General features: G+C 43.0%; 1 long non-coding RNA gene across 2 annotated transcripts in view, besides 2 other annotated features; it reads left to right on the forward strand.

Moving 5' to 3' along the window:
* Positions 1-358: 358 nt before the first annotated feature.
* LOC105370834 (uncharacterized) overlaps positions 359-27,789 on the forward strand; it is a 50,352-nt gene continuing 22,921 nt past the window's right edge. Inside the window, exons 1-4 of one of the 2 annotated variants that reach the window (XR_001751554.3) lie at positions 359-726; positions 3,415-3,602; positions 8,461-8,596; positions 19,119-19,394. This is a non-coding gene — a long non-coding RNA (uncharacterized LOC105370834). Of the gene's footprint in view, positions 727-3,414; positions 3,603-8,460; positions 8,597-14,847; positions 15,210-19,118; positions 19,395-27,789 lie in introns of those variants that run through there. The other variant, XR_001751555.1, reaches the window with a different exon arrangement.
* Positions 19,157-19,909: an enhancer, noted in NCBI's record as "OCT4-NANOG hESC enhancer chr15:58043407-58044159 (GRCh37/hg19 assembly coordinates)". NCBI's record gives its function as "activates a minimal SCP1, AML or CMV promoter by ChIP-STARR-seq in primed H9 embryonic stem cells {active_cell/tissue: H9 hESC(primed)}" and the evidence as "EXISTENCE:reporter gene assay evidence [ECO:0000049][PMID:30033119]".
* Positions 20,332-20,928: an enhancer, noted in NCBI's record as "H3K4me1 hESC enhancer chr15:58044582-58045178 (GRCh37/hg19 assembly coordinates)". NCBI's record gives its function as "activates a minimal SCP1, AML or CMV promoter by ChIP-STARR-seq in naive H9 embryonic stem cells {active_cell/tissue: H9 hESC(naive)}" and the evidence as "EXISTENCE:reporter gene assay evidence [ECO:0000049][PMID:30033119]".

Here is a 27,789-nt window from a genome sequence, read left to right on the forward strand (position 1 = left end):
AGAAAGGAAAAAAATGCACTTACCCTTAGAAAATGATCACTTAATTGAGATTAGTAGGAGGATGCACACATTTCTTAAATGCTTTTTTTTTTTTTTTTTTTTGATACAGGGTCTTCTGCTTTGCAGCCCAGACTGGAGTGCAATGGTGTGATCATAGCTCACTGCATCCTGAAACTCCTGGGCTCAAGCAATCTTTCTGCCTCAGCCTCCTGAGTAGCTGGGACTGCAGGAACAAGCTACCACACCAGGGTAATTAATTTTTTTTTTTTTTTTGATAGAGACAGGGTTTTGCTCTGTTGCGCAGGCTGGTGCTGAACTCCTGGGCTCAAGTGATCTTTCCACCACAGCCTCCCAAAGTGCTGGGATGATGGTCCTGAGCCACTGCATCTGGCCTAACTGCTTTTAACCACCTTTATTTTTCAAGAATTTTTGGCTTGACACATCCAGAGCCCAAACAGAAGAGGTCTTCAGATTTGACCCACGCATTTCTTGCCAGAAGAATTTATATATGAAGGCGTTGTGCAAGTTATTAATGTTAAAAGGAATTTCCTCCTCCAGTAAAAAATCTGAAATAAAATTAATATTGGCACAATCTGAGACTAAGAAGAGACACTGGCCATCCAGGAGTTTCCATAGGCCACGCTCCAATGTGAGCTTTCACCACTAGAGGGCGTGATCTGAATTGTGCACTCAGCGTTTCTTCCAAGAGTAATCGTTCCCAACAAGGTAATTTACCAAAGAATTACTTACTGTCGACTTTAGATACATATCCCAATTATGTCTCCCCTCCCAACTAAATTCTAGATTTAAAAAGTATGGACAATATAAGAAACAAAGCAATTTGCAAACGTTTATCTAACTGACCACATTGTTTCTATTTTGGTTACTCTTTTTGGGAAACCGCCAAAGTAAATACCCTCCTGTGAGTTGGCTTGGGGTCATCCGGCCTGGTCTCCTCTGCCCAGCCCCTTTATCTCAGCCTGGATCTTCTTTGGAAACAGAAATCATTTTCTCTTCCATCTTCTGGTGTTGAGGTTTAGTCATTCTTTCCTTCAAAGAGCTGAGAAGTCCTTTAAAAGCAAGACACAGCTTGTTGGTTGGTTCATTTGGTCATTCATTCATTCCATGGATGTTCACGAACATGAACATACCATGTGATAGACTGTAGAGCTAATTCCTTGACCTCTTAAAATGAACAGTGTAGGGGGAAACCGTAATAGTTAAAAATAGGGAAATGTACTGAAGGGTGCTATGGAAGCATGAATTCTACTTGCCCCTGCTCACCTTCACAAAGGTAACTGATCATCCATACTCAAAAGAGACCACACAGTGCTAGAATTCTCATGGCACATCACCAGGTAATGCTGCATTACCTCCACTGTTGGCTTTAAAAGTGTATTTCCTTTAGGCTAAACTTGTAGTAAAAATAAATCTATTAGCAGGAGAGCAACAAAAGTGCTCTGAGGAGAAAAGTCCTGGGCTATTGGGCTAGGAATCAAGATATATTGGGTGGTGGGGAAGGGGGTGGGAGGGGAGGTTACAGCTTGAGGGGGTGGGGCAGAATTCTTGCTTTGCTGTTAGCAAATTGAGTGCTTGGCCAAGTCAGTTGACTTCTTGGGATTTGCATTGTCCAGTTTCTAAAATGAAGGAGTTGAACCTGGTCAACGTGTTCCAAAATGTGTCTCTTAAAACAGAAATCTTGAGAAAAATGGAATTTGGGGATCAGATGGGTTTCGGAAATATAGCGTAATATCTGCCCCTTTTCACCCACTCTCCCATGGTAATTCCAAATCACCTGAGCTTATTAAAGGTTTGAGAGGTCCTAGAGTAAAAAGCCTGCTTAACTTTATTTAATTCAGTGTTTCCCAAATGTATTTGCCTGGAGATTCAGTTTTATGTGATAGCTATTAATGTAGAAATGCTGGACTAGATATTCATTGAAAAGCCGATAAACATTTATTGAATGACTACTTTGCGCTAGGAAGCCACCTCTCTGGCTGTATTACATGAGTCTGTGAATTTTATGATTTAATCAAGTAAACAGGAGATTTTCCTGTAGGTTACATCTTCTAATTAATCTGTTCACAGTTTCCAGAAGATACTGTGTTGTATCATTAGTGGTTTTTCACATTTGTAGCAAACTTTTTCTTCACTTTATATTGGAGTTCAAAACAGATTTAATTCTTTTTAATTAACATGGTGAACAGCAGAGGATAAATAGTGTTGACCCCTTGCTGGTCTTAACTCCCCATCTGATCGTAGCTTGGACCAACCTTCAGATGCACTGGGCTCTTTTGAATGTTTATGCAAATTTCATTTATTCATGTCCCCCCTTTTTTTGGGTTCTAGGTACTTTAACAATTTGGATAAAATTCATTTGGTTTTGGAAAGGAGAAACTTTTAGTACATGCTTTCTTTTGTGCAGCTGATGAAAAAAATCCCCATCTGGTTCGCTAAAAAATACAATCGTGTTGTCTTTTGCCACTTTCACACGAAGGAAAAGGACATCATATAATCTATCTTTAGAATGTTCTCCCAGGTGTCTTACTCTGCAGAAACTTTAGGAAGTGAGTTTTGACAGAGGGCCTGGTTTCCTTTACTTTAAAGTCATTTTACTTTAGGTTTGCAAAAGAAGACAGGGTACATGACAGAGAGGGAGGGGAGAGAATGCACATGGGCCATGGTGAAAAATCCCATTGCTGATTCTAACTTTGCCTTACATAACATTAGGAGAAAAGAATAGGCAGGAAGTTGGAATCTGCAAGTAAGACACTCTAAAATCTGGATTCTGTATTCTTTTTTATTCTCTTAAATTGACTCAATGCTGCTGGTTGTAATGTCTAAGTGATAGCTGCTGATAAATATTATCTTTGTGAACACACAGGGCATCATCAAATGTCAAGTCTGCAGACTCATTTTTTATGCAAGCCTAGCAGATTTTTGTGGATATGGGCCAGGAATTTTAATGAAAGAAAACATCAAAGATGCAAAAGAAATGAGAATATTAGTCAAGGAAGATACACAGCGATGCTCTCTGATAACCCCTAGTATTGACATTAGAACTCTGTGGGAGCAACTTAAATAAACATCTGGACACTGAGTTTAGACATTTTCAGTGACAAATCCCAGACAGATCTTTTCGACTTGCAATAATAAATATTTCAGAGGCTATATGAATCAACTGAAAATCCTGTTTTCAATTATTCTAGTTTTATAAATAGAGCATAATTATTCAAGTATAGAATTTCTTTTGAAGATTAGGCGAATTTTATATTTCCTTTGTCCATATTATACTTCAGTTTTATTATTCATATCAAATTTATGTCTGTGTGTTCAAAAATAATATAGTTAGCTTGCCAGATACTATTAAATCAGAATCCAGCTGAGCTTGATTTTTTGTTACTTTATTTTCAGGAAAGACCGTTTTACAGCCCTCAGTACCGCAGTTCCATGAACTTGCTCAGCTTGGCAGCCGCAGCTAAGGACACCCGTGGTAGTAAAAGCGGGAAGATGGGCTCCCTGGCTCTTCTTACCAAACTCTGATTGTTTGGAGCAGTTTGACCATCATTTAGCCAGGAAGACACCAGAAGGATGGCGTGCTGGTAATGCTTCAAGACAGCCAAACTTTATAAAAAACCTGGTGGAAGTAAATATAGCTAGGCAGTCAGTGACCAAAGCTACTCGGATGGGCCTGTTGATTGCTATTGTAAATTTTCTAATATGAATACAGGCTTTTCTCTAGAGATTGAAAATAAGAAAGGAAAGTGAACCGTGATGAATTGCGTATATTACCTCCCGAGAGCCTAAACGCTCACATGTTAAAAGTTAGCATCTGCGGCAGGTAGTCCTTAATATTTATGATCCGCTCTGGCATTGAGAATGGGACATGAGAGGGACATAATGGTTAGAGACTGGCTAGATAACTCTCGTTACTTGGTGCTTGCCAGGGTATCCTTTGTGAAATAGTTATGTACACTCGTGCTTTTCCTCCCAGTCCCTGAATAGAATGACACTTATGGACCGGGACTGCCTCATGCTTGGGTCTGACAAAGATGCCCTTTTAAAATGCTTTGAATAAAGAAGCCCTAGTTCTGCTTCTGACAGTTTCAGGGGAAGGAAGCTTTAGGCAAGCCACAATGTTTCTATTCATCCACTATCAAATCTATAATTTGATAATAGTAGCTAGTGTTCACTGAGCCCCTACTAAATGCAAAACACTTATTAGGACCTACATTAAGGAAATACATGTATATAATATAAAAAGTCACATAGAACTAGAAGTCTTATGAGGAAAAACAGAAATCCTCTTCTCAGTCTCATTCCATCCCTAAAGCAACTACTTTAGTTATTTCTCAGTGATTTATCTCCAGATTTATAAATAATGTGCTTATAGTACTATTGTTTCATTTCTAAGATAGACATTATCTACTGGATGAAGAGTGTGGTTTAGGTCTTATACTTCATCCATTCCCATTCTCTTACACTTCCACTCCCTTCATCCTTTCTATTTTAAATTAAATATTCAGTGTTTATATTATAATGACTATAAATAATATTTTTATTAATATTTTCAAAGTGTAGTGAGTTTCCTTCTTTACATGACTTGAGTTTGCTTTGGAATCTATAATCACTTTGTTTGTTTAATTTTCTATGTGTCTAAAAATGAAGTCTCAAATTTTCCAACAGAAGCATAGAGCTCCTTTCTGTATTGTCAAATGAGTCAAACAAACTATTATTCCATTCTCTTTGACTTGGAGGCTTCCCTGCTGGAGTTCTCCGTCCTTCTGCATTCTGGCCCGATGGGTCTAGTGATCTACCACACTCTGTCATTCTGAGATTTCCCTTCACTCTGACCCAAGGAATTCTCTTTACCACACTCCTGTATATGATCTGCTTTCTGGATCTCATGTCTTCATCTTTCTCATTTTTCTCTCCAATGTTGAGAAAACACATTTTTCAGCAAATATGAAAGTTGCAAAAAGGCAGCATGGGAGACGAATTTTTCCATACCTTGTATGTTTGATGATTTGATTTGTAGTTTGGCTGGGTATAGAATTCTAAGTAGGAAATCATCCCCCACTTAGGATCTGGAATGCATTAATGACTCTACTGTCTTTTAGCTTCGAGTTATGGAGGAATTCAATGGCATTCTGATTCCATATCCTTTACATGTGACTCCCCGCACCCCTTTCTCACTCTTCCTCTCTCTTCTGCACTCAACATTTAGGTCTTTTTTCTTTTTAATCTCTAGGATATTAAAATTCCATGAAGAACTCACTCAATCACTTTGGTGTGAGCACCCTCCACCCCTTCTTTTTTGTGGAGATGTGGGGAGAGCTGGTGATTGTTGGGCTCCTTTAATCTAGGAAAGTCTGTCTTAATTTCTGAAAAATTTTTCTTATATTAGTTAGTTGATAATTTACTCCTTGCCAGTTTCTGTCTTCTCATGTTGGAACTTCTGTTAGTCAGGTATTGGATCTCCTGGATAATTACTGTAATATTTTAATTCATTATAGTTTTCAAAAATTCTCTCTTTGAATTATCTGTTTCTTTCAAGTGCTTCCTTCCTGCCCCGCCCCCTGCACCCCATTTGCTTTTGGTCTCTATCATGTTAGAGGCTCTCTTCTAATCTCTTCTATCCTTGCTGTCAGGTGAATTACTAAAAGGTTGCGGGGAGGTTCTGTGGGTGGGCCTGGAGTGAGGGGGCACCCAGCCTTTATTTAGGAGATCCTCAGGTGTCAGCATCTGTCCCTCTATCAGGTTCTTTGGAAAGTCCCCTGCCTTTAGGGTGTGTCCCTGGCTGCCAGCATTTGGGGGATGGTGCTAGGACTCTCCCATTCAGCTTGCAGTCATTCATTCTATCCCCCTATTTCTGATAAATTGCCCCACCCTTCCTTCAGCATGCACCCTTGTGTATGCTTGAGTGTCTACTGAGTGTCCTCGAGTTCACCCCTCTCTGGTCTCTCTCACCAGCTGCAGGGGTTGGACAAACGGGTGTGGGGGTCTCTCCACACTTCATGCACATCATGAGCAAGTCCTATGGATTTTTGGCCCGCCTCTCAGTCTGACTTACAGAGGATCTCACTGCCTCCCTCTCTGAACCTTTCTAGGATTCAGTGGTGTAAATTGGCTTGCTTTGTATTGGTTTCTCCCCTCTGCAGACAGTTTCATGTTAGCTTTCTTTACACTAATGAAGGGGTAGATGAGTTGGTATTTTTTTATTTTTATTTTATTATTATTATTATTATTATTATTATTATTTTGAGATGGAATCTTGCTCTGTTGCCCAGGCTGGAGTGCAGTGGCGAGATCTCGGCTCACTGCATGCTCCGCTTCCTGGGTTCGCACCGTTCTCCTGCCTCAGCCTCCTGAGTAGCTGGGACTACAGGTGCCCGCCACCACGCCCAGTTAATTTTTTGTATTTTTAGTAGAGACGGGGTTTCACCATGTTAGCCAGGATGGTCTCGATCTCCTGACCTCGTGATCTGCCCGCCTCGGCCTCCCAAAGTGCTGGGATTACAGACGTGAGCCACCACGCCCGGCCATGAGTTGGTATTTTTAATACTATTTTTTTCAATCTATGTTCATTTCAGCAGGGCTGCAGGGTAGAATGAATTTAAATGCATGCTTCAATCTGCATTGTCTAAGTGGAAGTCTTAAACCATCAATGCAACAACCTCATAATGTGAATATTATCCCCATTTTACAGATGGTGAAACAAGCATAGTGTAGGCCAAACAGCTAGGAATTGAGAGAGTTGGATCTTAAGGCCAGATGTGTCTGACCTTGTGCCTTGGAGGACTGAACTTAGTCATCTCCAAAGCAGTGGTTCTCAACTCTATTTGACATTAGAGCCACCCAGGGAGCTGTAAGAAATGCTAATACCTAGGCTACACTGAAACCAATTAAATCAGAATATCTAAGGATGAACTCCAAGCACTGATATTTTTTTACAGCTCCCCTGGGAAATTCTAATGTGCTTCCTGGATTGAGAACTGATGCTCTGAATGTTCTTCCAGCTCTAGGGTTCTATCACTTTCCTTTTAGAGCAGAGGATTAGTGTGCAGTGTGACAGTCTGAATCTGTCTGGGAGGCTCCTCAGGCCATTTCCTCAATCGCCTTCCATCCTTTCCTCCTTGGGCACTTTTTTACTGGCTTTATTCAGAGAGAGATGTCAATTTAGCAAATAAAAATACAGGACACCCAGTTAAATTTGAATTTCACAATGAGAACACATGGACACAGGGAGGGGAACATCACACACCGGGGCCTGTTGGGGGGAGGGGGGCAGGGGGAAGGGAGAGCATTAGGACAAATACCTAATGCATGTGGGGCTTAAAACCTAGATGACGGGTTGATAGGTGCAGCAAACCACCACGGCACATGTATACCTGTGTAACAAACCTGCACATTCTGCACATGTATCTCAGAACTTAAAGTTAAAAAAAAAGCAAATTTGAATTTCAGATAACAATGAATACTTTTTAAAGTATAACATTGCATGTAATATTTGTGACATACTGTACTTTTACTGAAAAATTATTTGTTGATTCTTTGAAATGCAAATTGAACGGAGTGTTCCTTATTTCATCCGGCCACCCTATATTCAGAGCCCCAGTGTGCAGAGCAATGGAGGTTGGTGGGAGCTTTCCTCTGGAAGTAGTCCAACTTCGGGTCTTCTGTGCCCCCACAGGCTCCCCTGGGCATGGCCGCCCCTCCCGGAGGAGAATCCAGTGCCTGGGCAGAAATGATGCTCCCATTTTGCTTCCTTTCCCTCTTATAAATAGTATAAGTATTCTCAATGCCAGCTTAAATGCTACCTTTTCCAATATATCTTCCCCACGTTTTCTGGTGTCCCCATAACACTTTGTTTGGTAGTCATTAACAGTTGCAGTTATGGAGCTTCATGCCCCATGTTGTGAGATGGTACCTGCCTGCCTCCACCATGTGACTGAAAGCATCTCCAGGGAAGATGTCTTGTAGTTCACCTTCCCGTGCCCTCACCACTTGTGTCTCCAGGTTTCCAGGGTTTGGTAGTGGGACATGGGGGCCCCTAGGAATGTGGTTGAGAAGTTATGTCTTCATTGCCCTTAGGCTTCTCCCCTAACCCCTAACAGCTTTCCCTTACTTTGGCAAATCTCCTTTTCCTGTCAAGCAAGACGTTAGGGCATACACCTTAAGGGGGCAGTCACTCTCAGGGAAGTGCAGGTTCAGGGTGAGTACTCGTATGGCCCTGAGACTGAGGGTCACCTTAAATTTTACACCCCTCGCCTGGCTTGCCCCACCCCAGGCTGGCCCTGCCTCTTTGGGAAGGCAGCACCCACCCCTTGGCCCAAAATAAAACAGGCCTTGGATCACTCAAGTAGCGAGGTGTGTTTCAGAAGCTCCATGTGCTTGGTTTTTGTCCCCCTTGCCCATCCACTGCATGTGGATGCTGAGATCTGTTTCTTTGGTCCATAGGCCACCATTGCATTGCCAGCACATGAGAGTAGGTGTGTGAAATGTACACCCTGGGTACACAGAATTGCCTGCAGACAAATATTTATTGACAGTTAAGAAAATGCATTAAGAATGAGCATGAGTTCCTGTCCTTAAGGTATGTAAGAGTCTTATACTTTATGGTATGAAAGAGTCTTAATTATATACCTTTTATATTCTATGCCTCTCTGTTAACAAAAATATATTCCCTCCAAAAAGAAAAAAATCACAGAGCTTTCTATTCTGCATTATCTTGAATAGAAATAGGGTCACTGATGCCCTTTACAGACTGTGCTGCTGTAGAAAGCCCATAACCTTACAGACTTTGGTTTCTTCATTTGTACAACCAAGGGGGGTCAGGTGAAACAATCTCTGGAACCCCTCTGTATTTTAAAAGTTCCACAATTTCCCTATCTTTGTATTTCATTGTCTACTAAACTGGTACTTAAGTCTTATGAAGCAACAAAAATATTTCAATTTTGGATATCTTTCTTGGTTCATCACTTAATCTAGTTCCATATCCTGGCATACTGCTTTGTCTAAAACCTATATTTTAATTTTTTTAAATGCAATTTATCCTTTATAACTCTTTTTCATGTCCCATAAAAATGATGGATAAGGGAAGGTAGATAAAGCTGCAGATCAAACTGAAATTCTGATAATCTAATAAATGCTTTGAGCACCAATCTTGCAGTTTACGACCTCTTGCCAATTGATTTATGGCCCCGTAGTAAATTTTCTCTCCCACTTATCAAATATTTATTGGAACATCTTGTTCTTAACAGACAAAGTACTGTATAAAACATCTGTCAAAACAAAAGCCAATTCAATTAAATATCTTTTACTTCCAAATCTACTTCTCTGGTTCTCTCCAGCATCCAGATTGCAAAACAACAAGTCGTGTTATGCACAATCTTTGAGCAAGTTTTCAGAAGCAAAAAATGTGTACTAAAGTTAATTTGAAAGGAGTGAAAAATCCCCATTTACTTCATAGTGGAGGGCTGGCCCACCCAGTGACTCCTGATCTTTTCATCAGTTATGGCTCTGTTACTCATTTTCCCCTCACAGACCCTATAATTTGCAAGATTTTCTTGAGAAACAAACTTCATTTACTTGGTAGTCACTCGTTTATTATTAATCCAAAGATGTATTCACCACTAGCTCCCCTTGTTAGTCAATGATAATCCATGTCCAGTCACAGAGTTGATATAATTCCAGCTAAAACAAAGGAAAATAAATGTAAGTACAATTTCTTTTGGCATTTTGAAATACTAAAATAATCTAAGGGTCTCTCTGTTACTGTCTTTGAAGAAACAACTAAGCAAGTGTAAACTCAGAAATTTTTCACTCAGATTCTCTTTTTTTCTACTGTCAGCTCCCACCAGAAAAAAAGAAAACAGCATTTAATTTTCCAAGAGTGGTAGTGGTAAGAGAGGACTTTGGGCTTTTTGTAGCAGAGGTTCGCATCTGTACTTCCTTGAACATTTTCTTTGTGTATGAGTGAGAAATGCTCAAATTTGTGTCCTCCACCCCTCTTTTTGACCTGCAAACCTCTGAGCTACGTTCTGAAGGTCAGTCTATGGAAGATTTGAATGTGTGGCTTAGTGAGCCTGACTCGTAAGATTTCCATAGTTTAAATTTCTCCAGAATTCAAGGTTCCAATATTATTGTTGTTGCTAAATGCTCCCCAAATGTAGCATGGATCAATGACATATTGAAAGCATATGTATGTTTACCTCCATATTGATGTCATTTCCTATAACATCGGGAATTATGTGTGAAGTGCAGGAGGCGGGGTGCAAGTGAGGAGATGTGACAAGCAGAAGCAAATGCAAAATGTATTCCAAGAGATGGCTCAATAGGATTTTCAAGGCTAAAGTTGAAATCTGAAATATACACTCGACTTAAAGAAAAGACGAGGCATTCTGTGGATGGGCTTTAGTAGTACCGGAGCCATTTTCTCTTCCATGTATGAAAATTTCTTTTCCATGGGAAATTTTGGAAACAGTCTTAGCTGGAAAGTCATATTAATTGCCACAATCGTAGCTACTTTCCCCCTGGACTGAACCTTTCAATTGTGATATTCCCATCGCCACAGGGAGTAGAGATAGAATAGGATAACTTTAGTCCACAGATTTTCAAACTTGTTCCCTTCTACCTCTTTTACACAAGTCCCCTTGCTGACAACTGTAGGGAAAAGAAGGAAAAAATGCAGGTTAGAATAACATAGAAGTGGGGTTTTGCAAATGGTGGATTTTTGTCATCTCTGGCCTGGGTGCTCCGAATTCCTCTGTGGACAGCATGTATTTTAATTTCCATCTTTAAAACTCAGCTACTGAAGGCCAAAAGTAGTTTTTTAAGCCTTGCAAATTGTCCTTGGGCATTTAGCATTTTAAATGTTAGCCCTGAGTTTCTCTAACACTGAAAAAGACTCCACTGAAAGCAGATGGACTTGCAAGTCCCTCCATTTGACTCCCACGGTCCTGGGGCCCCTCCAAGCAGTGCAACCTCCAGAGCAAGTCTAGAGCAAAACTGGGAGGAAGCAGTTTGTGCAGAAAGGTCGTGAAGTCATGACTTGCCATGCCCGTTTCCCCTGCCTTCTTCCTGGGTGAAGCACAGCTGCATCAAAGCTGCCCACTCAGAGACCCCTCAGGGCCCTGTCTGCCTGTCCCAGCTGCGGCCCTCACTGACCTGCTTTCCATGGGAGAGAATAGGCTCCCAGATCAATTAGCCCCCATTTGGTATTTACTGGCTAAACGATATTGGGCAAGTTGCTCAGCTTCCTGTACCTCAATTCCTTACCTGTAAAATGGATTTTGTGCAGATCAAATAATATGATGCATGTAAAGCACTTAGTAGAGTGCTCAGTACTTATTAGGGGTACGGGAAATGTTAGTTCTTATTATTAATGTGATTAACAACTGTTGCAGGGGAAGTGTCCGTGTGTGATAAGGCCTCAATATTTTCCTTTGTATTTCCACATCCAGATGCGTTAGGCAGGAGTGTGGAACCCCCTGGACCTTGACTTAATGGCATTGTGGGAGGCTGCCTGAGTCTGGAGTGTGTGACAGGGAAGGAGGCCTTGGCTGCCTTTAGCAGCCAGAGCTTGAAAGGCCACAAGATGGCGGTGAAATACACCAGAGAAGGCTCATGAAGGCACCTGGAGCTCTTTCTTGCTGGGTGCAGAGTCTTGGGGATACAACTCTAGCAAGACAGAGCCCGTTCCTGTCCTCATGAAGCTTCTGGTTTGGCAGGGGAGAGAGTAGCAAACAAACCATTGCCCTGGAATTCTCCAGCAGGGGTTTTCTTGTTTGTTTGTTTTTTCTATTTTACTGGCTACATGCACCCAACACAAAGTTTGGGCCCCTTCTCCCTGCTCTTCCCTGAGCCCTCTCTGTCATAAGTCCCCACTACACTCTTAGGCTCTGGTCCTTGAGCTCACCTACCCCCTTAACCAAGTCTGGTCCCTGTAACTCTGCACAACCAGCAGAGAGTGAATTTGTTTTGTCCTGCAGATTCTTCATGTTTCTCAGTCGAGTTTTCAGGTTAGGGTCTGACTCAGTGGGGTCAGTTCCTAGGGAAGCTCCATCTCCCTAATATTCCTACTGAAAAGTAGTTTCAGGAATTCAGATAACATTGATTGAACTTGCAGTATGTGAGAAGCACCGTGCTAAGCACTCAGTATACACGATCTCATTTAGTTCTCTTAATCGACCTTTGAAATTGGTACTATATTTACCCTAATCTTATAGATGAGGAAATTGAGGCTAAACAACATACCCAGATGTCACAGTTTGTCAGCTGCAGAGCTGGGATCTGAATTCTGTTTATGTTCTCTCTGGTTCCATGCAGCTTCCATGGGGGCACAGGCACTTCTTTCTGCCTTGAGGCTTGCCATTTCTGATGTTCAACTTTTAGCCCATCCAAAGCTCTGTCTCTTTGACATTCTAGGCCTTTCTCAGCCAGGAAGCAGCCAGCCCTCTGTCCCCAGGATCTGTGTCCTGCCTGCTTCCTCTCAGTCATCCCAGTCTGCTCTCCATGCTGCCCCACTGGCTGGTAGCTCTGGTCCCACCTCTGCCAAACATCTCTACACCCTCCCAGGGGCGGCTCAAATGGCACGGATGGCTCCTCTATTCCACCTGGCTCTCCAGGACTGCCTCCCTCACATCTCCTGTAACACTGTACACTGGCCTGTGCAGGTTTTGTCTTTGCATCTGAAGGGTCAGCTGTGCAAGCTCTTGTCTAGCTGTCTGTTGTCCTATGACTCCTAGCACTGAGCACCACACACTGAAGGCACAGTTTTGCCTTGGGCCCAACGTCTGCCAGCCCCATTCTGCAGATGTGGTGAAAAAGCAGAACTCCAGGTATCCTGTTTATCCAGCCTCAGCGGATGATTACTGCTGGTTTGTTTGAGTTTTGCTGTGGCCATATTGGACAGTCAGTCAATAAATAAACCCCAGGAAACCGCTGACAACCCACGACATGATGCCTCCTTTGGCATCATCAATTACAAAATGTGCCATATTTGTCACTTGTCCTACCTCTTCCCTTGGGAACCCAGTGATCTGTTGCTTGTCCTTGAACACTGTCCCAAACCTGCTTGCAGAGCCGTCATTCACACTCAGTTGTGACCAAGTGATAGTGCTCCTTTTGCTCCTCTTGGTGGGGGCATGCAGCCTGTTTTAACCGGAACCAAAGCTGAAGCTAAAGGAAAGAAGGGTCGATGGAAGGATGGCAGACAACCTCAGGCAAGGGACCATGCCTACCTCCAGGAATTACACCTAGGCCACCTGATTTCATCTTTATCTTGACTTTTGATATTCTCTAAGGGATAATTTTCTGCGGAAGGATCTCAGGGTGGGGAGGCTGGGGCCCTGTTGACTGTGAGAGTTCCTTCGCCAGCTGATAAGTGTGTCTGTCAGCTCCCAAAGAAAGGGGCGCCCCATAACCTGACCTTGCTCTTCTCTTCTTACCTTCTGGGCGGCTCCTTCATGGGCTCCTCGCCTTCCTCTCACTCTCCAACAATGGGCTTCTTTCAGCCCCGGCCCCTTCCCTTTGCCATTTCCCTCTCTCTGAGCTCGTCTATTCTCATGGTTTCATTAGCACCTCTTTGCAGATGACGGGCAAGTCGACCTCTTCAGCCATGACCCTTTCCTGTGCCCCACACCGCATTTCCAACCGCTGACAGGACATCTCCACTCTCAGGTCCGAAGGCCCCTCAGTGTGCCCAAGGCAGCGTCCTCCATCCTCTCACTCCCTTCAAGATGGCTTCCTCAGTGCACATCCATTCAAGCAGGCCTCCCGCCAGGCTTCCTAGAGTCCCTAGCTAGCAACTTTGGAGTCATTTATCAAGTCTATTGAATGCTGGTCTTGCATCAGGCATCAGGCATCAGGCATCAGGCATCAGGCTTGGGCTAAGGGTAGAGAAATGAATAAAAGTCACTGAGAGACCTTAAGGGACTCAGCGTAAAGAAGAGAAATGCACGAAGAATTTAAGACAATCACAAGATTGAGAGAGGTGTGGAGGGTGCCATGCAGGGCAGCATTCCATAAATGCTTCTTGGTGAGGAGGTCTTAGCCTTGGCTGGTCTTGCCTTTCCTTCCTGTTCCCACTGCCGCCATGTTGGTTCAGTCTCCTGTCACTCACAACAAGATGAACAGCAATGTTCTCTTCTCTGTCTCCTTGATGGTAAATTTCTCTTCAGTGCCAACTAATTTTCCCAAAATACTGCTCTTACCACCTCTCAAGAAAAAAACCCACTTTGTGCTCCATCCTTTCTCTGCGGCCTTATTTTATCACAGTGGTTAGCAGGTGAGCTCTAGTGTGAGGCTCACCATGCTAGAATCTCAGCCCTGCTACTTAGTTGCTCGGTGACCTTTGACAATATACTTAACCTCTCTGTGCTCCGCTTTCCTCATCAGTAAAATGGGGATAATAATAATACCTACCTTATTGAGTTGTAAGGACAGAATGAATTAATACAGGCAAAAATTATAAGCCCTGAATAAGTGGTAGCTATTATTATTGTTCTTTTCTATTGCTTTTAAGTAGAAGGGGCTCTCTGTTCCTTTGAGGCCTCCTTGAAAGCCTTGAGGAGTTTTCTCTCTGTTCTCCATGATGCTACCCTTACCCAAAACACTGGCTTCTCTGGTTATGTTGCTCCTGCCCATTTCTCAGAGCCAGATCAGTCCCCTTAACTTACATGGAATGTTCCCCAGTACCTGAAATAAATAAAACTTTCTTTACAAAAACACATGGTAGGCCAGATTTGGCCTGCGGATTGTAGTTTGATGAGCCCAGCTCCAGATGAGAGTCAGTTTGCTGGACAAATTCACTGCTCAGCAAGACTCTCCGAATTTTCCTCCTAGGAACAGATGCCTTCCTCGTTGTTTGGACTTGAGTCAGTCCCGGCAAATGTTTAAGTGGCCTGGCCTGGAGAGCTAAGGTGAGCAAGCGCTCCTTGTCTGACAGCTTTGTTCCTGAGATCAGCCAGAGCAAGGGAGGATGGGACCCAGGGGGCTGAAGACATTTAAGCAAAAGAAAACCAGAAGTTCTTCTCATCCCTTTCTTCCTCCCTAACCCACGGTCCATTCCCGCTGCCCTCAGCCCTGGTCCCAGAGGTAAATAAATAGACGTTTTATAACCACCTCGGACAGATTTTTGTTATTAAGAAAGGAAATTAAAAGTCTCTTAAGTGTAGATAATATGGAGCTTGCTAGACAAATTGACAATAGCCAGGAAATTTGAAACGCACGGCTCCAAGCTCCTCCACCAGAGTGACTTTCGTTTGTGAGCTCTCTGGGCTTGCCTGGCTTCCGGGTGTGACGGTGCAGCCTCGAATGTTCTGTCAGTGGACGCCGTGGTTTTCTGTGAGAAACACATTCTGTGGGCTGTGCTGCTTTGCCCAGTATTGATGAGGCATTTGTGAGGACCCCTCCTCCTCCTCAGGCCCCACTTCCCCTTTTTCCTCCTTGAAGCTTGGGGGAAGGCAATGAACTCCCCAAAAAGAGCCCAAATCCCTAAGCTCTGAGGCACCCTCTTTTAATGGAATCGTCTTTTAAGGGATACAGAAACATTTCTCTCAGGAACTAACTGTCCTGCTTGCATTCTCCATAACCCCTTTTGTTGTCACCAGGGGAGTAATTATAATTTAAATCGATGGGTACTTGAGAGAAGGCGAACGATTTGCCCTCCCTTAGCACTTGACATTTTGAACATTGGACAATGAGAGGTGACTTTGTTTATTTATTGAGCTATTATGGCTTAGTGCTTAGAGGAGTTCCTGCCAAGAATGGAAAGAAACCTCCTTTTTGGATCATGTCTTTAAGCACAAACCGCTTTGTTACTGGTCAATATTTGGGGGCAAAATCCAGTGAAAGCTATGTTCATTTGATATACCATACATTTCCCTCTATCTCACTGAGTATGCCGAAAATAAATGCTGTCTTTAGTATTTCCGACATCTGGTCTTAATATTTGAAAGTCTGTGTTTCATGTACTTTTTTGATAGACAGCATTTTTTTGTGGAGCATTTTGTTGTTAGAGTATGTGAAATGTTGATATTAATCTGAGCTGCCCTGGTCTTCATGGAACACAAGGCCAGTCTGAAACAATCCTTGGGAGCATCTTTGGGAGAGTATTTTTGGGATCAAGCAACATATTTTGACATCCTTCCAAGGGCATTTGACTGTGTTTTGTGGAAACACTGTGTACATTTAACCTGGAGGACTGCTAGGCAGGTTTGCTGCTCACATCCAATCTCTCCAATCAGTATATCTGGTGCTACTATGGTAGGAACGTTGACAGGTTCAAAGAACAGATGTCAGGATTGACCTCCTCCACTCCGTGTTCCTGGACCCAAAGGAACCGGAGGGCTCTGTGAGTAGAGGGCTGAGCTGTGTTTTGAAGGGGGCTTCAACCCTTTCTGGATTTGAATGGACATAAAAGCTGACACCCATTCTCAAATAGCCTGGCTCATGCAGATCTTTTTTTTTTTTTTTTTTTTTTTTTTTTGAGATAGGGTCTCACTCTGTTACCCAGGCTGGTGTGCAAGACACAGCCTTGACTCATTATAACCTCTGTTTCTTGGGCTCAAATGATCCTCCCACCTCAGCCTCCTGAGTTGCTGGGACTATAGGGGCACACCACCATGCCTGGCTAATTATTGTATTTTTGTATTTTGCACTTTCATCATGTTGCCCAGGCTGGTCTCCAACTCCTGGACTCAAGTGATCTGCCTGCCTTGGCCTCCCAAAGTCCTGAGATTACAGGCATGAGCCACTGTGCCCGGCCCCATGCAAGCAGCTCCACAGACTGGGCCAGATCTGATGGGTACCAGCGCTCTGGTCATATGCAGAGTGATGTCCACTATCCCTGTTAGCTGCTCTAGGAAAAGAACCTGCTGATGAAAGTAAAATGTATAAAGTTCATGAGAATTAGGGTGGTGTGGAAGAATTTGGGATGAGAAGGTATGGTGAAGTTGAGGCAAGGGGATGTGACAGTCACCAGCATTTTAGACTTGGAAATTCTTAGACCTGGCTAAGGTCACAGAACTAGTTATTGTTAACTAGACTAGATCATGGGACCAGAGCTGTGTGTCCCCACTTACAAATCAGCTGGGACCAGAATAGAGAATCTGTTCGTCCCTGGTCAGAAATGCTGATTGCATTTACACGTATTTTTTTCTTTTTCATATAAATTAATAAAGTGTCAGTAAAACTTTCTAATGCAGATTCCCTAGATGAGTGAAAAAGAGCTAAGACCAGGACATTGAGAACCCTAGGGACATAGTCAAGTATTGACTCCTGCAGAACAGCCCCCTGAAGCCACCTCTTCTCAATCTTCTTTCCATTGCATCTGCTTCATTGCAAGAGAATACTATGGTCTTGCGTGTGGTTTCTTTCTTTTTTTTTTTTTTAAACATACAAGTCTACTTTGAATTAAACTTCATTATTGAATTCGTGATTCCCAGATGCTCTCTTCTTAAGTTCACTGAAGAAGAAAATTAAATAGAAATGCACCCAGTATAAGAGAAATTTGTCATCCAATTGAATATATTAAGGTAGAAACCCTGGATGAAAAAAATCCCAGAGCATTCTTGGTCATAGTTTGGTGGTGCCTCGAAAGAGAAAAGATCTTGTAATCCCCAGGATGACATTCATTTTGGCAACCACTCATAAAGACTTCTTATAAAGTTACAGGGTGCTCTTGGAACCATGGTGGCCTTGTCCAACTTGTTTAAACTCTACTTGTTGATGAAGAATCTCCAAGATATGTGGTTAAGAGAAACGACCATGGTGTAGACCAGGGTGCATAGTATATGGCTATGTGGTTAAAGCTAAAAAGAACATCTGTAAATGTGCATATATGGTATATATAGGGAAAGATATACAAAAGCTGGCAAGCTTGCGTCAGGGAAGATGAGCCCAATGGCCACGGTCCAGGGTAGGAGAGGGACTTGCTTTTTACTGTATAGTCTTTTGTATCTTTTGAAATTTATACCATGTACCTGCATTATCAGTTCCAAAAAATTAGTTGAAACCAGTAACTGAAAAAATAACTACTTAATGAGCCCTCTGTCTACCCTTTTGGAACCCAGCTTTCTAAAAGAAGACAAAACTTACCAAACCAACTTATAGAGAAAAGTACTCTCACCCCTAGCTCATTTTCATTCCCTGGCTGACCTACCAGCAGAACCTCCGCCCCCCTGCGGCCCGATACCATCATTTTTAATGAAGTTAATTTTTATTTTTATTTTTATTTTTACTATTTTGATAACCACTTTCTGTGAAATAATAGTTTTTTTTTTTCAAAACTTGGCTCATATCTCCTTTTATGTTAGCAGTCATGGCATAGAAAAGCTGCCCACAGAATGACATACATCAAAAACAGTTTTCTGTTTAGACGGATAGCTTTAAGTGTGTGCAAACAGGTGCCTCTATGTGTGGAAGGAAGACATGCTAGATTATTTGGGGTCCACCTGCAGAGGAATGAGCTAATTTACAGAAGAGTGAAGCAGGCTCTGCACTGAAGGCCAGGGTTAAGGCATATAGCTAATGATAAAATAAATGAATGTGACTTTCTAAAAATGTCATGGGGGAGAAGAAAATGAGGAGGAAGGGAAAACTGGCCTCTATAATCTTGTAATGTTACAAATAGAATTGCCATGTGACTCAGATCTTCTCAGAGGTTAGAGGGCATAGGTCACTTTTTTAGTGGTGCATCTTTGTCATTAGACGAAGAATAATTGGGAGGAAATGATTTCACCCCAGAGTTTAAATTCCTCGGTCACTGCCTCATTTTCTTCCATAGATCCATAGGAATCTCCTGGGAGTGAAGTGGAGCCTGTGCATTTCCTAGAGTTGGGCTTTTTGGGGTTTTGGTTTGGATCTATGGTGTTGCTCTCTTGGGGACAGAAAGTATGGACAGGGCACAGGCGCAGAGACAGGTCACTCTCTGTGTTTCATTCCCGTCCTGACACTTTCTAGCTGTGTAGCTTTAGATAAGCCACGGGACATTTGTGGATTTGAGTTTTTGCATCTGTACAATGAGTTACTAATACTAAGCTGGAAGGGTGCTAAGGGGACTGAGTGTGAAAATTGGTATCAAGCTCTAAGAAGCGTTTCCTTTCCTTTTGCAGAGAGTGCTAGAAGGGAGACTGCTGTCCCCACAATGGCTGCAGCCCCATTCCTTTTTCCAAGCTGCCTGGGTGAACATTCCAGGATCCTGACATTCTGTGGAAATTGATGAGTGCTTGCTCAAAGGTCGATGATGTGCTACAGATGGCATCACCTGTTAGAGACAGAGCTTTCTCAAGAGGAGCTTTGATTTCCTTTACTTCCCGAACTGCTATTTCACAGTCTCTCAGTAGATGTCAGCAGCACAGCAAACATCTCACTGCCCATCATGGAAGCAGGTTGGTTCAAAAACTTTTCCAATTAAAGAAAAAAAAAAAAAAGGAATTAGTTCTTTCCTTTGCAATTTTCTTCAGAAGCCCCAGAACCAAAATGGTAAGATCTAGTGGCTTCAAAGTAGATTCCTGAGAGGATTACTCAGGGTGTGTTTGCATTTTAAAGACAACCTTTTATTCCCTGTAATGAAAACATCACCCCTGAGATGGCTAGGGATTATAGCAACCTTTTTGGAATTTTCGGCAAGTTTATCTCACATTTACTCTCTAGGCAAGAGTGAAATAATAGAAGATGTCCAATATTTTGCTTCTTCCTGTGAAGTAAATCAAAACCCTGGGAATGTTTTCTCCTAAGTTAATTAACTGATGTGTCCTCCTCTATATCTTCATTATATTCAATTAACCCTCTGATTGCTACTACAGACAACTGCCACAAGCTCAAAGAATAAGGCAGAGTTTTCTCATCAGAATGAAAGAGAAGATTTGAGCTGCTCTGGAGGCTGAGGTTTGAGAATCACTTGGGCCTGGGAGGCGGAGGTTGCAGTGAGCCCAGATTGCACCACTGCAGTCCAGCCTGGGTGACACAGCAAGACTCTGTCTCAAAAACAAAAACAAACAAACAAAAAAAGAATGAAAGGGATTATTTGAATTTGTGCCCTAGCAATATTTTGAGGTGATGTCCACCCAGGCTTTGCTTATGACATTTCCTACCTAAGCTGACTCCCCTTCCTGCTCCCTCCATTCTTGCCTGCCCAGCCCCAGGTATGATAGGAGCAAGGTCAGCACTGCTAAAGGTGGGAATGTCTCCATTGATGTACCTACCCTTTTGTCCCCAGTAATATAAAATTTTGCTCTGAAACTTTACTTGAGATTAAATTGGCTCTTGGGTATTATATTTACCTTGCTTCTGTTCCTTATGGCTTTTTACTGTGAGGAAGTTTGCTCCTTGATTCGTCATGTTATTTTTTGGCATTAATGTTCATTTCTTGCTGTTGCATTTAAATGGTATGTCTCTTGATCACTGCATTTTTCGGTGCCCCCTTCAATTTTACACCAAGGAGCGTGCCTCACTTGCTCCCCCTAGTCCTGGCCCTGGGAAGAATGCACCACCAGGTTCATCCACAGCAGAGGGGCCCCATGGGCTTCCCAGAGGCCCCGTGGGTTCCCAGATGGGCAGTGTTGTCTCACCCACTGTCTTCAGGAGGAGCTAGCCTTCCTCCGGAGAAGGCTTCTGCGCTGCAGGACTGAGTGCAGGGCTCGCAGAGCCTGTTGGGGGAGCTGGAGCCAGTGTCTCTGCACACAGTGGGCGGCCGCTCTGATTGCCCATCTAAGGAAATGCTGGGGTCCTGTAGGAGTCAGCTGCTGTAAACTCCTACGGCCTTTTGGTGAGAAACCAAAAGCAAAAGCAAAGTGTGTTTCTCCATTTCCAGGATTAAAATTAAGCAAAACCAGACTTTCTTTTTCTTTTTCCCTTTATTTTTTATTTTTTATTTTTATTTTTTGGTACATGGAGGTAGTGCGAATGCGTGTCTTAGGCAGCCGGGGAAGGGGGCAAAGGATGGGTCCTGCCCAGTGCTGGGCAGTTGCCAGCTGGCGGCTGCAGCAGTGTTGCTCCTCAGACCCAGGGCCAGAGCTGGCAACATCAATGGTAGGGAATAAAGCTCAGTGGGTACGTGGTGCCGGGAGCCTGGCTGAGCGGAGACCTCCCAGTGAAGGCTGCCTCCTCCCTGTGCCCCAGGCTCGTTTGGATCTGGAACTGCAGGTGCATACACGCTCCTTGTAGGTTTCTTATTGAAAAAGCAAGAGTGGACCAGAGTGTTGTTATCAACATGGTGTCATGAAACAAGGTCAGACTTGGATGTAGAAGGCCTGATTGCAGGCCCAGCCCTACCCGTGGCTGGTTGTGGTGCCTTAAGTAAGTCACTGGGCCTCCCAGAGACTCACCACCAACCTGCAAACTGGGGAGAATAGAATTTATGCTGCCCACCCTAGAGATATTCGTGAGACTTGACTGGTTAATATTTGCGAAGGTAAAGGTGTGTATAAGGTATAAAGACTCCACAAACAGAGGCATGATTGCTGTTGTGGTGGTTATTGTTATTATCATTTGCTCCAACTCACAGTCCATGGTCTTACAATGTTGCTTACTTCCTAATTAAGTAGGGAATTTACTATATATCTTTGAGCCTGCCATGGTGCAAGGTTCTGTGCTGTAAAGCAGATAATGTGTCTTCCCACGAAGGGCCTAGGAATAGGACAAATATATAGAAAACGGGAAGGTATGCTAGAAAGGGACACTATTTCAGGAGAGACAAGCAAGGGAGGAGCTGTTGCTTCCAGTTGGAGGAAGCCGGGAAGACTTCATGTAGAAGTAGTACTGGAGCTGAGGCGGTAAGAAAGAGGTGGGACATTTGCAGAGTGAGCTGGGGGGGATGGGAAGGCATTGCACAGGCAAACAGAAGCTGGGCCCTGCTGGGGAATGTATAGGGAAGCTGAGCCTTTCTTTGGTTGGACTGTGGGCAAACGAAGCGAATAGTGGGGCAAAATGTTGGAAAGTATGTAGGGGCCGGTCTGGTGGGGGGTGGGGATCTGATAGAGGTTGCTGTTGGCTTGACTAGGTTGCCTCTCAAATTCAGGTGTTGCTAATGTGATGTTATGAGGGGCCTTTAGGAGATGATTAGGCCATGAGGGCTCCTCCCTCATGAATAAAAGAGGCTTTGCGAGCTTTGGGCTTGCTTGCTCTTCCACTGCGTGAGGATGTAGCCCTCATCAGACCCCACATGCTGGTGCCTGGATCTTGGACTTCCAGCCTTCAGAACTGTGAGCAATAACTTTCTGTTCTTTACAAGTGACCCAGTCTGGTGTTTGCGATAGTAGCGTAAGTGGACTAAGACATGGTGGAAGGAGCATAGGCTTGGTTATTTGGGCAGCTTTGTCCCTGAGAGTGAGCAGGAAGTAGCAGAATGTGATGTCCATATTAAATCTGTGTGAGTAGGACGCAGGTCCTCTGCTGGTTTTTCCAGGCTCTGGGTACCACTGTTTTGCATCCTTTTCCTTACGGGCCTCACTGATGTATGCTGAGGGCTCTCAGGGTGTCCAACCTGCCTTGGATTAGAAGATCCTTTATCTGCTTCCTCAGGGCCTTTGGGGCTCAGAATGTGAGCAGTCCAGCAAGTCTATGTCGTGCACCTTCTGTGATTCAGACCCTAGGCCAGGGCCAGGGGTTCCAACTGTGAATGAGATTCAGTTCCTACCCTGAATCTAGTGGGAGAAAGAGTCAGGGATCGGGGGCTGTCATGCAGGGTGGTAACTGCTAACCAGAGTGTTGGGGAGCACAGGGCTGGTGCCTAAAGGGGGCTTGGGAGCAGGTGGAGAGTGAAGGGTCAGGAGGGACTTAGAAGGGAAGGAAACTGGGCTGCAACCTAGAGTCTAGGTAGAGTTATCCGGCTAACGTAGTGAGGATGGGCCGGGCAGGCTAAGCATGCTCCAGGGGTTGAGAGGGCAGGATGTGGGGGAACTTGCAAGAATCTGAGTGGAACTGGAGCCTAGCATTCAGGGACTGATGCCGTAGGCAGGTCAAAGTGCTCAATTTGCTTCTGAGGTCTGATTGTTGGAGAGACTTGGTCAGATTTACCCTATAGAAAGGGGACTTTGGGCAGAGTGAGGATGACTTGAGAATTGGCACAGGAATGCAGGACCTATCATAGATTCCAAGTAGGATCAGTAGGACTTGCTTTGAGGTTGGGAGTAAGGCAGAGGGAAAGTCAGAGACTGACACCTACTAAATTTCATCTTAGACCTCTATGCTAAAATGTTGTCTGTGAGGATTTTAGATCAATTTAAATTTAATCCTCTATTCATTCCAAATCTAATGGGTCCTAAATGCACCCAAGTGTTTGAACTTCACAATTGTGATCCTGATTGTTTGCGAGCGCTAGTGTTGGACGTTCCCATACTTTGCGACGTTAGCACTACAGAAGGGACCCTAGAGAGCAATACCCAACCTCCTCCTTGTACAGGTGAGGAAGCTGAGGCCCCTCAAGTAGAAGAGGCTCATTTAAAGTCTCTGACCTTAAAGCAGGTGAAATGAGTGGTTGGGGCTGGGAGGTGTTTGCTCACCAGAGTGTCGGGGAGGGTCTCACCTTTCTCTTGGCCTTCTGTGTTGGCTGTCAGTATAAGGCCCAATGTCATCTCTGCCTCCACTCTATGTATATCCCAAGTTGTGTCTGCTGGAAACAGAAGCTGATTTCAGGGCAACCCCATGGCAGTTCAGCAGGGCTGACAGTGTCTCCCACATGCAATGCTATGGAGCAGCCATCACCCACCTCGGCATTGCTCTGCCATGAAAAGCCTTCCGGTGTCATGTGTGCCTGGGAAGTGCTGCGCCCTAGCCATCTCCCTCTTGGCAACTCACAATACGTGCAGCACACTAAGGCATCTAAAGAGATGCTTACTTAGCTTAATTTATCCCAGTGTCTCCCAATCTTCTTTATCCGTAGAATCCTTATTTTTTTTCTATTAGCATCCCAGGGAAGCAGAGTCTGAAGAACGCCTGGGAAAATGGTCTCCAGGTGGTTCTAATATAAGACAGGTTGAGGCTTTGCTGCATCTTACGAATTCCCCCAGGTGATTCATATGCACACTTAAGTTTGAGAGGCCCTGTTCGAAGTCACCTGTTCTCAAACGTGGCAGGCCATGCATTGGAATCAAGTGCGGAGCTTTCATAAATACAGATACCTGGGTGCCATTGCCAGGGGTTCTGGGGATAAGGCTGTGGGGGTAGTGAATTTTTAACACTGGTATGGCAAAGTAAGCATAATATAAACTTTATCACTTTAATCATTTTTAAGTGTACAACTCGGTGGCACTAAGAACAATCACAATGTTGTGCGACCATTATCGTGTCCATAACTTTTTCATAATCCTAAACAAAATTCTGTGCTCAAACAATACGGGCAACGGAATTTTAAAAAGCTGTCCAGCTGACTGTAAATGCACGAGAGTCTGAGAACCAACCATCCAGACAAACCGATCACTACATTTAGAATGTTCACCAAAGGCTGTGAGCCCTTTTAGAGCGAAGCCTGGGCTTTGCACCCCAAAAGACTTTCATTCAAACATAGACTTTCTGATGTTGCCAGGTCAACCTCTCAGAAGGTCTGTTCCATTTACATAAATGTGCAACAATACCTTGGAGTGTTGTGGCAACAATTATCTGAGAGCCTAAGGAAAGCATCTGGTCTGGCGTCTGGCCTCAAAATGTCAATGAAGAATCACAACTATTATGCTATGTTATTTGGAAAGGCAGTTTAGCATTGCAAAAAGAACACAGGTTTTGGAGTTTATCTGAGATACCTGAAAAATCCTGGCTTCACTTATTTAACAAGAATAGGTTATTGTATCACTCTGAACATGATCTCTTTTCTGTAAAATGGGGATAACACTACCCACCTCACCTCATAGTATTGTGAGAATTAAATCAGACAAACATGTATGGTGCCTGGCACATAGTAGGTGCTCAATAAATGGTGGTAGTTATTTACCTACGGGAGATGTGTCATTACTTATAATGAATGGAGTGCTTTAATTTTTCTCTATCATTTGTTATCCAAAGTTAAAAGAATCATAGACTTTTAACACTGAAATAGTTTTGAGATGAAGAATTAGTCTTGAGGCTTTGAAATGTCCCCCTTTTATGCAGTACCATATGGGAAGCAACTGTTATATAGTTATTAGAGTTCAAATATCTGGGCTCTTATTAGTGGTTTGTTCTTGAGAAAGTTAAACTCTCAGGGAATTGGCTTCTTCATCTGAAAAAATGGAACACCTAAAAATGATATATGTATATCAACACATGTGTGAATTTGAATATGAGAAGTTTTTCCAGTCTCATGCCTTTCAGGGACCTATCAAAATTTCGTTCTTTCCATTCCCCATGATTTTGCTAAGTTTCCAGGGTCCGGGATAGACCTCCTCCTCTTCCCTGCCGTCCCCAAATCAGGGCCCCTTCCATTGCCTGAAGGGTCTGACATACGCATAACACTTTTAGTCATGATCACCTTGTTCTCACAGATGTCCATTAAATCAAAAATTCTTCTCGGCATCCTCTCCATTTACTCTGAACCCTCAACCACATAAAGATCTCTCCTAAAACAGGATCAATTTTGTTTGGGCTAAGATGATTCTGGTAATATATACACAGTCTGAACCTCCAGGAGGAAATGTCAACATGTTATTAATACTATTCAAAATATATACTGTCACATATGTTTTCCAATTTCTAATCGTATGTGTCAGTTTATTCGATCATTGTGTGGCATGTGGGGTTATATTTGTACTTCTCATGCATGCTTTTTACAGTATTGTAGTCAGGATGAATTATGCTTGAAGGTTTGTAGACTTTTTGTTCTTGATGGCGTAGCTTTGATTTATCATCAAAATGACCTTGGTTACATGATTAAACCAAATGTTATCTTCTTTTCATGGATGTTTTGGAATGTATCATGCTGATAAATACTAGTGATTTAAGATTGAGCCCCATGCTAAAAAATGTCTCTTTCGTTACTAGATGTTGTGTTTAAAAGACATCAGTGAAAATTAAGACACGGAGTCATATTACCAAAAATAGTTCAAAATTGCTGAAGAGTGTGTGCGTGTGTTGAGAGGTAGTGGGAAGTAAATCTGAGGGGTCCACGGGGATGAGGTCACGAAGGGCCTGAAATCCTAGGCCAAAGATTGGCACTTTATTCTGTGGACTAGGTGTCACAAATATGAATGTGACCAGGCAGCAAAGAATGAAGCAACAGTGAATGAAGAGGTCTAGTAGAAAAAATGGTATCTTTGACTATACTTTTTCTAATCTGACACCATTTTCTAATACAATGTGTAGGAAAAAATTGCATGTCTACAAAGAACGGTGCATTCTCGTATTTCCATAAGAGTGGCCCTTGTGAACTATTTTCCACTCCTGACAGAGGCAAAGAGAAATTTGTCTACTGTAAGAAAAATCACAGTGTGCATGGCACACAGTGTGATGGCAACACATTCTCACTTCAATGTTGGGGGGGCAGAGTCCAGGGGACTGTGACTGATTATACCCTTCAGGCTCTGCCGCCGGAACTGTCCGGGGAGGGGTCGGCTTTTGTTCAGTTCTAGCTAAGGTGGTGTTTCTGAGGGAATACAAGCCCCATGTGGATAGGTCTGAGTTTCTGAGAAATGTCAGAAATGTACTTTGTGTGAAATCTCTCATTTTAAATGTTTGCCCAACAACATGTGCATGTAAACCACAGGCACATAACCCACGTCTGTAAACTGGATTCCATCCAGGGATGGCCAGCTTTAAACTAGTGCAATCAAAGGGCTTTAAGGATCTCAGTAATGTGATCTATTTACATTTCAAGAAAATTTACATCTAGTAGCTGTTAATTCAAAGGGTGCTCTTTGGTTCAAGTAATATCATTGGCATATTTTAAAAAAATGTATTTGACAAATACTCATATGATAACTATGCCCAGGAACTGTTCCAAATGTTTTGCCAAGCTGGGTACAGTGACTTGGAACTGTAATCTCAGCCACTTGAGAGACTGAGGAGAGAGGATCTCTCCATCCCAGGAATTCGAGGCTGCAGTGAGCTATTTGATTTTGCCACTGCACTCCAGTCTGGGAAACAGAGTGAGACTGTTTCTATAATTAAGTAAATAAATGTTTTGCCAACATTTACTACTGTCAACAGACATGTATGATCAGTCCTATTCTCCCCATTTTATAGACGAGAACTGAGGTACAAGGTCAGCTAGTAAGAGACAGAGCTGGGATTTGAATTCACGCAGTCTGGCTCCAGAATATGGTATTTAACCACTATGCCATGTTGCCTATTAACAGTAACTAAAATGGTTTATAATGTATCCAGAAGATTGTGTATGTGTGTTATGGAAAGTAAAGGTTTGACATATGATTATATTCTGATTGTGGTTGAAGAAAAAGTCTGTTGGTTAAACAACATTGCTAAAGGAAGAGAATATTGGTTCCTTTAGAACAGTAAGAATTAAGGTATCTGTTGAAAGAGTAGAAAACTACATCAGAGTCGCATGGTAGCCCTTCTCCACCTGCAGCTGCATGTGCAACTCCTTTTCGCCTCTTTGAGAGACTCCTGATAATGTGAATTTCCAGCTTGCCTGGAACATTAACTACCTATGTATTCATTTTATATGGTTGCTATCACAAATTACCATAGTCTTAGTAGCTTAAAACAACACAAATTTATTATCTTTCAGTTCTAGAGCTCAGAAGTCCAAAACAGGTGTTGTAAGGCTAATATCAAAGTGTTGGCTAAAATCAAGGGCCGCATGCCTACTGAAGGCTCTCAGGGGGAATCTGTTCCATGCCTTTTGTAGTGTATAGA

Source organism: Homo sapiens, chromosome 15 (assembly GCF_000001405.40).
Source record: "Homo sapiens chromosome 15, GRCh38.p14 Primary Assembly".
NCBI classification, from domain to species: Eukaryota; Metazoa; Chordata; class Mammalia; order Primates; family Hominidae; genus Homo; species Homo sapiens.